The 14,756-nt window shown below is 43.3% G+C and overlaps 1 protein-coding gene across 8 annotated transcripts in view; it reads right to left on the reverse strand.

Moving 5' to 3' along the window:
* Nucleotides 1,057-14,756, reverse strand: part of NLRP11 (NLR family pyrin domain containing 11) — a 51,177-nt gene continuing 37,477 nt past the window's right edge. For 5 of the 8 annotated variants that reach the window (NR_169622.2, NM_001297743.3, NM_001385451.2 and 2 more), the window contains 5 exons: nucleotides 11,738-11,908; nucleotides 7,959-8,129; nucleotides 4,887-5,057; nucleotides 4,465-4,635; nucleotides 1,057-1,529 (listed from right to left, as the gene is read on the reverse strand). Coding sequence is in view for 5 of the 8 variants with exons in the window: in NM_001297743.3 (NP_001284672.1) it covers nucleotides 1,283-1,529; nucleotides 4,465-4,635; nucleotides 4,887-5,057; nucleotides 7,959-8,129; nucleotides 11,738-11,908 (931 nt within the window). In the remaining 3 variants the exon portion in view is untranslated. Of the gene's footprint in view, nucleotides 1,530-4,464; nucleotides 4,636-4,886; nucleotides 5,058-7,958; nucleotides 8,130-11,737; nucleotides 11,909-13,886; nucleotides 13,996-14,756 lie in introns of all 8 variants that reach the window. The other 3 variants (NR_169620.2, NR_169621.2, NM_001385453.2) reach the window with 3 other exon arrangements.

A 14,756-nucleotide genomic window follows, 5' to 3' on the forward strand; every position in this document is an offset into this window, starting at 1 on the left:
AGAGCTGAGGGTGAGCAATAGCATTGGGCAAAATAGGTTTACCCCTGCCTGGCTCTGAGCCACACCATCCATGCCCCGGCTGGACCAAGACAGTGGCACATTAAGCCAGGTGCTTGGCTTGAGCTCCTGGCTCAATGTGGGACCAGAAAGCTCAGGTTTACTGTATACCCCTGTGTCCTAGAAACACTGTCAAAGGGAGAAATTAGGACAGTTCTCCTTAGAAACTGAGCCAAGGATCACTTGAGGTCAGGCGATCCAGACCACCCTGGCCAACATGGTGAAACCCCATTTCCACTAAAAATACAAAAATTAGCTGGGCATGGTGGTGGGCGCCTGTAGTCCCAGCTACTCAGGAGGCTGAGGCAGGAGAATCACTTGAACCCGGGAGGCAGAAGGCTGCAGTGAGCTGAGATCACACCACTGCACTCCAGCCTGGGCAGCAGAGCGAGACTCCATCTCAAACAAAAAAAAAAAAATTTTTTTTTCAGCACGTAAAGACCCTAAAACCTACCCACCTTGAGTAGGTATCCTCTCACCTATGGAGGCCTATTAGGTACAGCAACCAGATGCTTAGCAATGGGGCATTGTAAATACAGTGTCAGGGTTGGAAACATTATCAGAGGATGCCCAGTTCAACTCCCTCTTCTGAAAGAAGGTGAAAAGGAGACGCTTTTTCTGAGGCCACACATATCTGACATTTCTCCACAGCTTAGAGAAGTCACCCTTCATCCCATGGAACACACACAAGTTTGTGAGCGGAGCTGGCTAAGAGCAGGGGAGATACGGAAATGAATGCCAGTTACGGTGTTAGGTAGATCCGGGAAGAACATGGTGCAGCAGGAATACGAAGTCAGGAGGGAAGGTGAGATGAGGATTTCATTTCGAAGGATTCCTAGGGACACCTTCTAACAACTCTCCCTAGACCAAAACAAAAACAAAAACAAAAACAAAAACAAAACCCAGAAAAACAAAAACAAGAAACAAACCATGAAAGGATCATAGTTTCTTTAGTGTTACTCCACCGTGCCCACTGATGAAACAATCATGCTTCACAGCTTTTTCCAATGCATTTTATCCTTTATTACTTCATATAATCCTTTTAATACTCTTGAGACAGTGTAGGAATTTGAAGTGGTTGACTGGATCAAGGTCACACACACACACACACACACACACACACACACACACACACACACATCAAATAGGAAAATTATAGTCCTAATTCTCTTGCATCCCAGTCACGGTAGTAATTTATAATAAATACTGTTTACGTACAACATGATCAAAGGGGTTGCCTAGATGCTGTATTTGACGTTCTCATGGCTGCAGACATTCTGGGAAATTTGAAAAACATGTAATCCAAATTAGAATTAGGTATTATTGAACCTGGCTGAGAAGCAGGTGTCACACCAATTTCTCTGCCTTCCTTTAAAGACCAAGTTTCAGACAGAAAGATCAAACTGGGTTTTCTTTCCTTTACAGTCATCAGCAACTGCTGGGTTTGTGTGTTCAGGCCAGTTAATGGAAGCCTGAAGGAAAACAGAGAGAGAACGCCGTTAATGCTACATGTGAGGTCTCAGCTTTGTTGCATCAATGACTAATTCCCCATATGGCATCCTTTGGGTATTCTTGGGAGTATCTCAAGCCATCTCTGAGGAAACAAAAATCTGTTCCAGACTGAAAACCGTGAGATAGCGATTTCTCCATTAAATATTAGAATGTAAGACAAGATTTCCACTGGGAGAACTGTTTGAAGTAATATTAGTAGTAACCAACGCCACTACGTGCTCAATGCTTTACATGCATCTCACATTACATCCTCACAATGGGTAATGGCATTCAAGACTTTATAGGTTCCAATACTGAGGGTCAAAGTTTCCAACTAAAATATGTTTACAGGCTGGACGCAGTCCAGTCCCACGTCTAATCCCAGCACTTTGGGAGGCTGAGGCAGGCAGATCACTTGAGCTCAGGAGTTTGAGACCAGCCTGGACAACATGCCAAAACCCCATCTCTACCAAAGATACAAAAACTTAGCCGGGTGTGGTGGTGCGTGCCTGTGGTCCCAGCTATTTGGGAGGCTGAGGTGGATTACTTGCACCTGGGAGGTCAAGGCTGCAGTGAGCCATGATCACACCACTGCTCTCCAGCCTGAGTGACAGAGCAAGACCCTAACTAGAAAAAAAAAAAATTTACATAGCTAGAGAACAGAGGCACACTTACACCGCAGCCCATGCTCATGTTTCTTTCTCCAAATCAAAGAGGAGGATTCAGCCACTTATTTTGTGCCCTCTCTGCATGTGAGTGTCCCAATTAGCATGTAGGCACAAATACCTTTATAACCTGAAATATGGTCATTTCTGCAGTTTAGTTTTTTTTGAGCACCTATAATACTGAAGGAAAAATATCCCTGGCATCATGGAGCTCATGTTCTAGTGGAAGGAATTAGATAATAGAATAAATACATTATACATTTGAAGGTGAGAAGAGCCCTGGGGAGGAAAAATAAAGAGAATAAGCAATTTGGAAAATTTGTAATGTTTATGGGTTTTTCTATGCATCTGAAAGTTTGACTCAATATCCATATTTATGAAAAAATTATCACTTAGAGATGACAAGGGAAAACAACTCATAGTAGGGTCTCCAGCATAGAGTCTGTGATCTCATTTAATCTTTAAGAGTTCTGAGATAATTATCACCATTTTCCATTTGAGAAAAATTGGACATGAGTGGGAAATGAGTTGCCCCTCCTGTATTTTATTAATGGGTCATCCGGATGCTTATACTTAGTCTCTAATTGAATGCTCAGTAACCTGAATATGATTTTCCTTTAAATAAGGCAGGTAGAAACAGAATGCTAGATATTGCCAGAGCTTTCTACACACGTGACAGTGTGAATGGAAGCTGATAGGCAGCTTCTAAATGGCTTCTAACAATCCTCACCTTGTATCAATCACACTCTTGTATCATCTTTGCCTCTAGCATAAGCAAGACCTGTGATTTGCTTCCTTTGAGATGGAGTCTTGCTCTGTCACCCAGGCTGGAGTGCAATGGTGCGATCTCGGCTCACTGCAAACTCCGCCTCCCAGGTTCAAGTGATTCTCGTGCCTCAGCCTCCCGAGTAGCTGGGATTACAGGTATGCATCACTACGCCCGGCTAACTTTTGTATTTTTAGTAGAAATGGGTTTTCACCATGTTGGCCAGGCTGGTCTCAAACTTCCGACCTCAAGTGATCCACCCGCCTTAGCCTTCCAAAGTGCTGGAATTACAGGCATGAACCACAGCACCTGGCCAAATTTGCTTCTATCCAATAGGCAAATATGGTGAGATGTCACTTTTTTGGTGAGCCTACATAGAATTGCTACTTCTGCCTTGCTAACAAACTCTATTGCCTTGAAAAACCTGACAAACAGTTGCTGTTTGAGAGTTGGAGAGCAAGTCTTTTCAGTGTTTCTTGCTGATAACTGAGGGCCTCTTCCAGCCAACAGCTCTCAAGGTACTAAGACCCTTAGCCCAACAGCACTACAGGAACTGAATTCTGCCAACAACCACATGATCTTAGAAGCAGGCTGATTTTTCCTTTCCCAGACATACCTTCAGATTTGACCCTAGCCCTGGATGACATCTTGGCTGCAGCCTCATGAGAGATCTCAAGGACGACCAACTAAGCTGGGATTGGAGTCCTGACACTCACATAGACTGTAAGATAGTGTGTCATTGAATCCAAGTTGGTGGTAACATACTTGGCAACAGTTAGGTAACACAGAAAGGAAGAGAACTTTTGCTTTTATGAGAGGAATCTAATGGATTTGGAAACATGAAATAGACTGAGAATTGCCTATTTTTATTCTCTCGTAATGAGGGGTACATCCAAATGGAGGAAAGAAAATAGAAAATATTCGTAGAACCCTTTTTGGTCTACGTCAAGTATAATATCAACTGTCATCTTTTACTCACCATTGAGTACATCCTCTGCTTTAAGAACGAGGCATACATTTTCAATCTCCCAAGAGGAAAGACTTTTTTTTTTTTTTTGTATTGGAAACTGGCAAGAGGGTTTCTCATCATCATCTTATAGGTCCTAGACCATCTCAACACAGAATTTTCCCCATCACAGCCAGGCGCGGTGGCTCACGCCTATAATCCCAGCACTTCGGGAGGCCAAGGTGGACAGATCATGAGGTCAGGAGATTGAGACCACCCTGGCCAACATGGTGAAACCCCGTCTCTACTAAAAATAGAAAAAATTAGCCAGGTGTGGTGGTGGGTGCCTGTAGTCCCAGCTACTCAGGAGGCTGAGGAAGGAGAATCGCTTGAAGCTGGGAGGCTGATGTTGCAATGAGCCAAGATCACGCCACTGCACTCCAGCCTGGGCAACAGAGTGAGACTCTGTCTCTCAAAAAAAAAAAAAAAAAAAAAAAAAAAAGAATTTTCCCCATCACCAAGGAAAATAAGCAACTTACCCAACTACCTTAAGTACACAATCTGGGCTGATCAAGCTCTCAAGAAGTTTTGCAACTCCATCATTGCCCAAGTGATTTTGAAGCAAGTTGAGTCTTTCTAGTGTTTTGTTGGTGGTAAGAACAGAGGCAAGAGATCGACAGCAGGCACTGGTTAACATGCACTCTTCTAGCCTGCAACGAAGATGCACAGGTAAGGTGGGGCCAAATCCTTGAGGAAAAATGGCAGATGAGATGGGTGAGAACTGGACATCTACTAGATCCCTCCAAGTTTTGGGCAAAAGAACTGACTGTGCAATAAGAGTCCCATTTCAAACACTAGACTATTATGTCCGAGGTATTGTATTTCCCAATCCACTTCCTCTTGTGCTTTTCTTCAGCTGTTGCTAGCTAAAGGCAGGGATCTTTCTCCACCAGGCACCTACCCAATATTCACCAACATGCAGTTGGGATGTCTCAAACCACCACATAGCAGCTGCATTCCTGCATCTTCTATTTTGTTGCTCCCAATCTCCAGGCTCCTCAGTTTTTCATTAGTAGCAATAACTATGGCAATATATTGACAGATATCGCTGCTAAAGAAACAGCCAGACAGACTGCAAAACAGAAACATGAGCTAGAGTCATGACCACCTGTCTCCAAAGATTTATTTCACAGAGTGTTAAGCATTCTTGGACCCGTCTTGTGACATTCATGAATAAGGGACTGCTTACAGAAACAAGAGCAGTGTTAACATCTACAGGTCACTTACAACATACCAGGCATTGTTCAAAACTCCTAATGCACATTAAACTCACAATGATCACAGGGCTCTTATCCTGGTTTTACAAACAAGGAAACTGAGGCCAGAATGTTTTAAGCATTTTTGTCCCGGGAAGCCACATACATTCAACCTACACCGTTGCAATACTGAGCTTGGATTCTGAAGAATTATGTTAGGCAACCTCCTCTGACATTCACGTTTCTGCCTTTCAGTACTCATGTCAAAATCCAACATCGAGAAGGGCTAAATACATTCTTTCTATAAAGAGGATTTTACCAAATGGTCCTTTCTCAAAGCAAGCAACGTACTCACGATTGTCCGTGTTCTCCCATGTGACCTGCCACCTTGTTTTTCCATTCACGTCTCCCCCATTATCTACTCCTACAATCCTACTTCATTGCCTCACCACGTTGGCCTTCGTGTTGATTCTCGAGCACAGTTGGCTGTTTCTCTGTTAACAGCTCTGCACCGACTATTCATTCTGCTTGCAAGCGCCACTCTAGTGATCTGTATGACTCCATCCACAACCTTCTCCAAGTCTTTGCTCAAATGTCCCCTTGTCAATGAGGTGACATTGACCTTGCTTAGAGATGGCCATACCCTACCCTCAGCACTCCTGATTACGTGCCCTTAGGATTGAATTAAAAAAGTTTCCATAGCAGTTTTTACTGCCTGATACAGGAGTTGACGGCCTTTCTCTATAAGGGGCCAGATAATAGTTTAGGCTTCACCGGCCATGGTGCCTCTGTCACAACTACTCAGTTTTGCCACTGCAGCACAAATGCATGCATGAAACACATGTAGATGAATGGCTGTGTTCCAGTAAGATCTTTATAAAACCAGGCAGAGGGCCAGATTTGGCGCCTGGGTGATACAGTTTGCTGACCTCTGGTCTAACAATACATAAGTTTCTTATGTTTTATTTCCTATCTCCCCCAGTGCCAATACAAGATCCATTAATACATGGATATTTATTCTGTTCACTGATGTATCCCAGCCACCTAGAGGAGTGCCTGACACTTAACATATATTCTTTGTTATAGAATGTATATTAAATACTGAATAATCATATTAAAGCAGATTCCAGAAGATCCTATTTTTCATTTAGTAGTTATAAAAGTTGGGTGGTGCATTCCTGTAGTCCTAGCTACTCAGGAGGCTGAGACAGAAGGATCACTTGAGCCCAGCAGTCTGAGACTGGCCCGGGCAATATAGCAAAACCCTGTCGGTAAAATATATAGAGAGTTAATGATGTGCCAACCACATCCATGCTTTCAAACTTAGAGGAAAATAAAGGGTGATCAATAATGTGGGCTTCCATGTGCCCTATGGGAGCTCATAGAGGAGGTCCCTATCCAGCTTTGGGTAGGTGATAGACAAAATGGACAGTTATACTTAAGACAATTCTTGAAGGATGACAAAAGAACGTGTTTGGAGTCTACAGCAAGGTTCAAACTATGGTCTGAGAGCCAAATCTAGACAACTTTGTTTTTTATTTATAAAGTTTTATTGGAACATAGCCACACCCATTTGACATTTTTCATGGCCTCTCTTCAGCTATGGGAGACTTAAAAATAGTTATGACAGGGACATTATGGCCCACAAAGCCCAGAGTATTTACTGTCTAGCCTGTTATAGAAAAAGGTTTCTAACCCCTATTCTACAGTATGAGTGAATTTGTCTCAACCTACTAAGTACAAACTAAGGGCCATGAAAAAAAGGGAGGGTGAGTTATATTATTTTCCCCAAGGCAGCTTTCCCTAAACTGCCTTGTCAAAGGAAGCAAGATTCTAGAAAGAAAAGATATCCCTACAATTTCCTATTTTACCTGCCCATTTGTACCAAATTACAATGGTAACATGGATTTAACTTATAACTACAAGACAGAAATAAAGATAAGATACCATACTGCTGAGCATATTCTTATACAGTCCAGTAAGCACTTCAGTTCAGGAGCTCACAAGCCATAGTGTTGCTATTTTATGAACAGGAGATGCTTTTAGGTTATCAGTTTCTTATATTTCTGAGCCCAAAAAAAGGCATTTGAAATAGAACATTTTCAAGAGAGTTCAAATTAAACAACTCCAAGGCATTTTTTAAACAATTTTTTTTTCAGGCAAGTGGGAGAATCACTACTTCTGAGAAAATACGAGAAGTTTGATTATTCAGCATCATTGATGAGGCACACTCAAAAAACTGTAGTGGCTTGTTACATATTTTTTCCTGGAAGTTCAATCAGAGGCCATTGCATCATGCCTAAATTAGATGTCTTTGGTAGGTACCAGTGGCTTGGATATGGCCACCTCCCCCAATGCATCCCTTTTCCAATAAAGCTATTTCCCAACAGAAAGATGCCCCCATGATCGCCAACCCCAAAAGATATTCACTGCCTCAGAAATTGCAAGCCAGGCCAGGGCAGGATCTTTGGGTCCCTTCTCCTGTGGCATTTTCCCATGCTATGTCCACCCGGGGCAGGGGGAGGGGTCCGGCCCAGGCACCCTTCTCCATGTGATAAGGATCTGAGGGATTTTGTGAACTCTGCTCCTTCTGAGCTAAAAGGTTTTGCCAATGAATCTTACCGTGCTTTCATGTCGCCTATTCTGGGGAGCCCATGCTCCCGTACCCCTATCACCCATGATGCCATCACTGGAATCTTATCCCTGCCACCAACCCCACCACCCAAGCCCTCATGCAGTAGAAACACAGTCATCCAGGACAACTGTGGGAGACTTACTGAAGCTCCTCTAACTGACAGGTTGGAAACAGCAAGGGAAACGTCACATGCAACACTCCGTAATTTTTTAAGCGATTCACACACAGGTCTAGTTGTCTTAGAGTTGGGCTGAACAGAAGCACTCTTCCAAGGGCGCTGCAGCAATTTTCAGTGAGACAGCAGAAGACTAACCTGCACACAGAGAAGAGTGAGTCAGTGACAGTGTGAGCACCAGAGAGGGGAGCACCTGAGACCACCCACCCCACGCCCACGGGCGCCTCGATGCCTTCTACTGCCATTGCCCCAAATCTCTACCAATGACTTTCTTATTTGGAAAAGGAGATTAGAAGTACCCCAAATAGTGCAGAGGCTGAAATACAGAATGGATGATGCAGAACAGGGCATGAGAAAAATCTAACTCCAACTTCTACTAACGGAATAATCTTATAGACGTTACTTCTGGAACTTGGTTTCTCCCATCGTTTGATAAAGTATATTTGGCTAAATTGAATCCTAGGATTTTCAGTTTAAAAACTCACTTTGAAAGAGTTACTTTATTATTTATAAGTGAATACAGGAACTGTTGAAGATTTTTTTAAACTGGGAAAAAGTGGAGACAGACGGCACACCAGAAGCCCTGTTGTTAGCCCATTTTGTGGTATCCCGTTTTGTCTGTCCAGGTTTAGCTCGTTGCCAATATGTGGAAGTTTACTCAATCCTAATCTGGATTTCCAGCCTCTATTTTTTTTTCCATTATTTATTTTTAAATAATTTTTAAAAATAGAGATGGGGGTCTCACTGTGTTGCCCAGGCTGGTCTTGAACTCCTGGGCTCAAGTGATCCGCCTGCCTTGGCCTCCCAAAGTGCCGGAATTATAGGCGTGAGCCACCACACCCGGCCGAATCTCTATTTTTTTTAACCCGTTTTCTGTTTGCCCTGGGAATACTGCACTGGCAGTGAGCTGCACTTTTTTCCTAAACAGGGAAGGGGTTAAAAAGTTGGAAATAGGCCGGGCACGGTGGTTCACACCTGTAATCCTGGCACCTTGGGAGGGGGAGACAGGAAGATCACCTGAGTTCAGGACTTCGAGACTAGCCTGGTCAACATGGTGAAACCCCGTCTCTGCTAAAAATACAAAAATTAGCCGGCATAGTGGTGTGCACCTGTAGTCCCAACTACTTGGGAGGCTGAGGCAGGAGAACTGCCTGAACCGGAGAGGTGGAGGTTGAAGTGAGCCGAGATTGCACCACTGCACTCCAGCCTGGGTGACTGTCTCCAAAAAAAAAAAAAAAAAAAAAAAAAAAAAAAGTTGAAAACAACCAATTTATTGGTTGGAAATACTGAATCTTGGCTCTGGTATGGGAAAAGGGTACACTAGACCAGAGGCTGGCAGCACACCAAACCTGGCCCCTCCCTGCTTTTGCACAGCTGCAAGCTTAGAATGATTTTTGTGCTTTAAAATGATCGGAAAATGTATATGTAGTTATTTTAATTTGGGTTTGACACGTGAAATGGGCTAGGTTTTCCTTTGTATACTAATGCGTGCTTATTTTAAATTATATGTACAAGTAAAAGTTAAGACTAAGAATGAGCTAGAGAAGTTCCCTGTTGTCCTCGTAGAAACCAGCACTATCAACTCATTTGCATACTATTTTCCAGCTGTCAGATTTGGTCACGACCATAAATTTGGCCTTTTACAGGTGTTTTCCTCAGACTACTGTGATTTCTTTCACGTTCTTAGGCTTAGAAATTCCTTGCCTATTTAAAATAAGTTACCAAAACAAATATTTTTTGCTTAGTATATCTGGATTATTTTAAATACAGGTATGAACTACGAAAAACTCCATGCCAACAATCTAAGGTGATAAAAATGTTCTAAAATTATATTGTAGTGTTGTACAACTCTAAATATGCATAAAAAACATCGAATGTGTACCTTAAGTGGATGAATTTTCTGATATGTAAATTATACCTGGAACCAGTGGGAAAAGAAAAAAAGAAAAAATCTAGCAGGAAACAAAAAACTTGTAGATATGAGATGAAAAAAATATCTATTTGGAGTCTGATTATTGAACCAATGGTCTGTCCCTTTTTTCATGAGACCTTCTTTTACAACAAAATTAGCTCATATTGACAATTACTTACTGGATTTATCTGGGGCCACATGGATCTTAGAACAATTTGAGATTTTAAAGACATGGCTGGACACAGTGGCTCACATCTGTAATCCCAGCACCTTGGGAGGCTGAAGTGGGTGGATCACGAGGTCAGGAGATCGAGACCATCCTGGCTGACACGGTGAAACCCCGTCTCTACTAAAAATACAAAAAATTAGCCAGGCGTGGTGGCGGGTGCCTGTGGTCCCAGCTACTCGGGAGGCTGAGGCAGGAGAATGGCGTGAACCCGGGAGGCGGAGCTTGCAGTGAGCCGAGATCGCGCCACCGCACTCCAGCCTGGGCAATACAGCGAGACTCCGTCTCAAAAAAAAAAAATAAATAAAAGCATACATAATGCGATATTACATAATATGAACAGGAGTTTCTGGTGTTATCCTGCAATCAAACAAGTATTTTTTACAGAAAATATAAAGAATATAAAGAATATTATATCAGTTTGTATTATGTTTTGGAATCTAGCAAGTCCTAAAAAGGGGGCGAAAGGAGCTAAAGGGAGCCAAAAATGGGCGAAACAAAAAAACAAGATGACCTACTGCATTCTTTTGTCTTTTTGGAATTTGGAATTGTGAACGGGGAATCATGTCCTTAAATACACCGAGCTACTTACTGTTTTGTTTTCTGACCATGTTTTACAGATCTCCGCCCTTCATTTTTGTACCTTTATGCCTCACTTTTGCCACTTTTTTGCCATCTTTCATCGTGTTTGCCATGCCCCAACCTTCCGGAAGTCTGCCTTTCTAGCCACTTTCCCAGAGCAGACAGAGCTTACCTACGAGTAACCCACAGTCGGTTACATACAGGGAGAGCCCGTCTTCCACCTTCTTGAAAGGAGACTCAGGGGAAAAAATCCTATTTCAAGGCAATCTAGCACCAAACCTTTCCTTTGCTTTCGTCTTTGTGTTCTCAGTCACATCTCATCCTACACGACACCCAGTTCACGTGTTCACTGTGAGAACAATATAGGTTCCCTGCTCTTAGAAAGTCAGTTGCTATGGCCTAGGTGCTGTGTTTAGAATGTTGTGACCACCATTTTTTATTTTTTATTTTTTTTGAGACAGAGCCTCGCTCTGTCACCCAGGCTGGAGTGCAGTGGCACAATCTCGGTTCACTGCAACCTCCGCCTCCCGGGTTCAAGCAAGTCTCTTGCCTCAGCCTCTCAAGCAGCTGGGACTACAGGTACCCGCCACCACGCCCGGCTAATTTTTGTATTTTTAGTAGAGACAGGGTTTCACTGTGTTGGCCAGGCTGGTCTTGAACTCCTGACCTTGTGATCCGCCTGCCTCGGCCTCCCAAAGTACTGGAATTACAGGCGTGAGCCACCGCGTCCGGCCGTGACCACCATTTTTAACTCTTATCTCCAAAGATGTATGTTTGGTCATGTTATGACTCCACTGTCCAGATTGAGAAATACAAGTTGAAAAAAAATCCAGAAACATTTTTGCCAACGTTTCGCAAATCAGCTGTCAACCCAGAGTATTAACCCAGACCTACTGAACTCCAAAGACTGTGCTTTCGGCTGCTTTGCTTTGCTGTCCCTTTCCCCACCACTGCTCTTTGATCATGTGCTTAGATATTCAAGTCAGTCTGAGCTTCTACGTGGTGAGCTCGTCTAAGCCAACTTACACCAGTGATATAAGAGTGCAGTTGGGATGAAGCAAGGCATCACACAGTATGTTCATCCCGTCGCTCCTCAGCGGATTGCTGGATAAGGTCAGTTTTCTCAGACTCCCGCCACTGATGAGGAGAGAGGCGATTTCTTCACATTCGCTGGCTCGCAAATCACATTTCATCAAGCTGTAAGAGGAATTCAGAAATGAAAAGAGGCTCCCGCGTTTAAGCTATCCCCTCTTTTAAATTAAAAAAAAAAAAAAAGAGAGACCTAACCAAGTGCGATGATGTCTACTTGGAAATAAATAGATCCCTTTGCTTCTAACCTTTCTTCTCCCTATGCCACTCCTCAGAGTTCAAATTTGGGCAAGGTTACAGATTCACGAAGGGCTGTGAGCAGGCAGTTCCTTCCTCTTTTGCATTCATCTCCATGTGGTTTCCAGGGTGATGGTTCAGAACGGTAAGTCAGGTATCAAGCATCCCACCTGACCATGGGATGTGGGTACGATCACATTTATAAATCTGATCAAGACCCTCAACTTACCATCACATTTACAAGGACTTCTGATGTTTTTTCTGCATAGCCTTGGGTGCCCCACATGCTCTGGCTCTCAACTATCTCTATTTTCTTTTTTTTTTTGAGATGGAGTCTTGCTCTGTCGCCCAGGCTGGAGTGCAATGGTGCGATCTCGGCTCACTGCAACCTCTGCCTCCCGGGTTTTTAAGCGATTCTCCTGCCTCGGCCTCCCGAGTAGCTGGGATTACAGGCATGCGTTACCACACCCGGCTAATGTTTGTATTTTTAGTAGACACCAGGTTTCACCATGTTGGCCAGGCTGGTCTTGAACTCCCGGCCTCAGGGGATCCACCCGCCTCGGCCTCCCAAAGTGCTGCGATTACAGGCATGAGCCACTGTGTCCGGTCTAACTTTCTATTCATTACTCATTCTGTACCATCCTCCCTGATCTCCTCACTCTCCCTCAAGTCCACAAGCATATTTTTGCTTTAGTGTCTAGTACCCTTATCTCTACTTAGTGATTTTCCCCATGGGACCCTATTTTTTAAAAAAAGTTTTTTTCCTTAAATTATCCAGGAGTGGTGGTGCACGACTATAGTCCCAGCTACTTGGGAGACTGAGGTGGGCGGATCACTTGAACTCAGGAGTTCGAGGCTGCAGTGAGCTATGATCATACCAATGCACTTCAGCCTGGACAACTGAGCAAGACGCATCTCTAAAAAAAAATAAATAAAATAAGTAGAATAAAAATAAGTGATCTTTCCCCAGATAGCTGCATGGTTTGCTGTCTCACTTTCTTCAACTTGTCACTCAATATTCTCTTCTTCAATGAGGATTTTGAATAATAACCATCTTTCAACTAACAAATATTGTTATTTTCAGGCATTGTATGAAGTTCCTGGGATACAGCAGAAAACTGGAAGAAATACGATGGAATTCTAGCATTGTAAAGACAGGGCTGAATGTATCATGTGCCTAGTAGATGATCAGTTCTTTATAGAAAGTAAATCAGAGTAGGTCATAGAGAAAGAAAAGGATGTATTCTACTTCCTTATGGGGCAGGCACTGAGCGAAGACTCTCACTGAGCCATCGTACTTGGCCTGTGTATTCTATTTTGAATGAAATGGAAGCCCTTGAGGGTTTGAAGATTAGAGGACAGAAGAGTCAGAAGCTCTGACTTAAATAAGGTAGAAGAATTTTAACAGAAACTTGAGAGAAGAGGGCAAGCTCTGAATCTCTAGGACAAGGGAATTTCTGTCAGAGGAAATGAGTGGAAAGAGTCAGAAGCAGGAGCAGGTTTGGTGTTTTAAACATCTACAACAAACAGTGCAGCCGCAGCACGGTACATAAACAGGAGATGGGGAGAGGGTTAGCCAGGGCCACCCAGCGTGAAATGGTGTATTCTATATTATTATTATTTTTTTTTTTTTTGAGATGGAGTTTTGCCCTTGTCACCCAGGCTGGTGGAGTGCAATGGTGTGATCTCGGCTCACCGCAACCTCCGCCTCCCAGGTTCAAGTGATTCTCCTGCCTGAGACTCCCGAGTAGCTGGGATTACAGGCATGCGCCATCATACTTGGATAATTTTGCATTTTTAGTAGAGACGAGGTTTCGCCATGTTGGTCAGGCTGTCTGGAACGCCTTACCTCAGGTGATCTGCCCGCCTCGGCCTCCCAAAGTGTTGGGATTCCAGGCGTGAGCCGTCGCGTTGGCCTGTGTATTCTATTTGGAATGAAAGTGAAAGCCGTTGAGGGCCTGAAGATTAAAAGGACAGAGTCACAAGATCTGACTTAGATTGCCATTATCCTTAGCAAACTAACATAAGGACAGAAAACCAAATACCACATGTTCTCACTTACAGATGGGAGCTAAATGATGAGAACACATGGACACATAGAGGGGAACAATACACACTGGGGCCGACTTGAGGGCTGAGATTCAGAGGATAGGATCAGAAAAAATAAAAATATCTATGAGGTACTAGGCTTAGTACGTGGGTGATGAAATAATCTGCACTAACTCCCATGACACAAGTTTACCTGTGTAACAAACCTGAACACGCATCCCTGAAGCTAAAAGTAAACTAAAAAGAGTTAAGTCTACCCTTGTAGTAAAACTGATATATCAAAAAATAAAGCTATGTTTTGCTTCAAACACACACACACACACTCACACACACACACACACCGGAAAACAAAACAATCCAAACTAGATGAAAGTTGCCCTTCTACACTCTTTTCCATGTAGCAAGCAAAGGTGTGGACAGGTAGGAAGATGCTGAAGTACTGCAGATAGGTGGGAGATGGGTTGGTCTATCATGCTTAGCAGTAAAGGAAGCAGGAAGGAGTCAGATGGATCCACTCTAACAACAGACCTAGAAAATTTGTCTAAGCCAGGCCACAAGAAAATCTGTATTTGAAATGCCTATTTAAATATCAAAGTAAGAGGCTGAGGTGGGCAGATCACGTGAGGTCAGGAGTTTGAGACCAGCCTAGCTGACATGGCAAAACCCTGTC

The sequence above is a fragment of the Homo sapiens genome, chromosome 19 (assembly GCF_000001405.40).
Source record: "Homo sapiens chromosome 19, GRCh38.p14 Primary Assembly".
NCBI classification, from domain to species: Eukaryota; Metazoa; Chordata; class Mammalia; order Primates; family Hominidae; genus Homo; species Homo sapiens.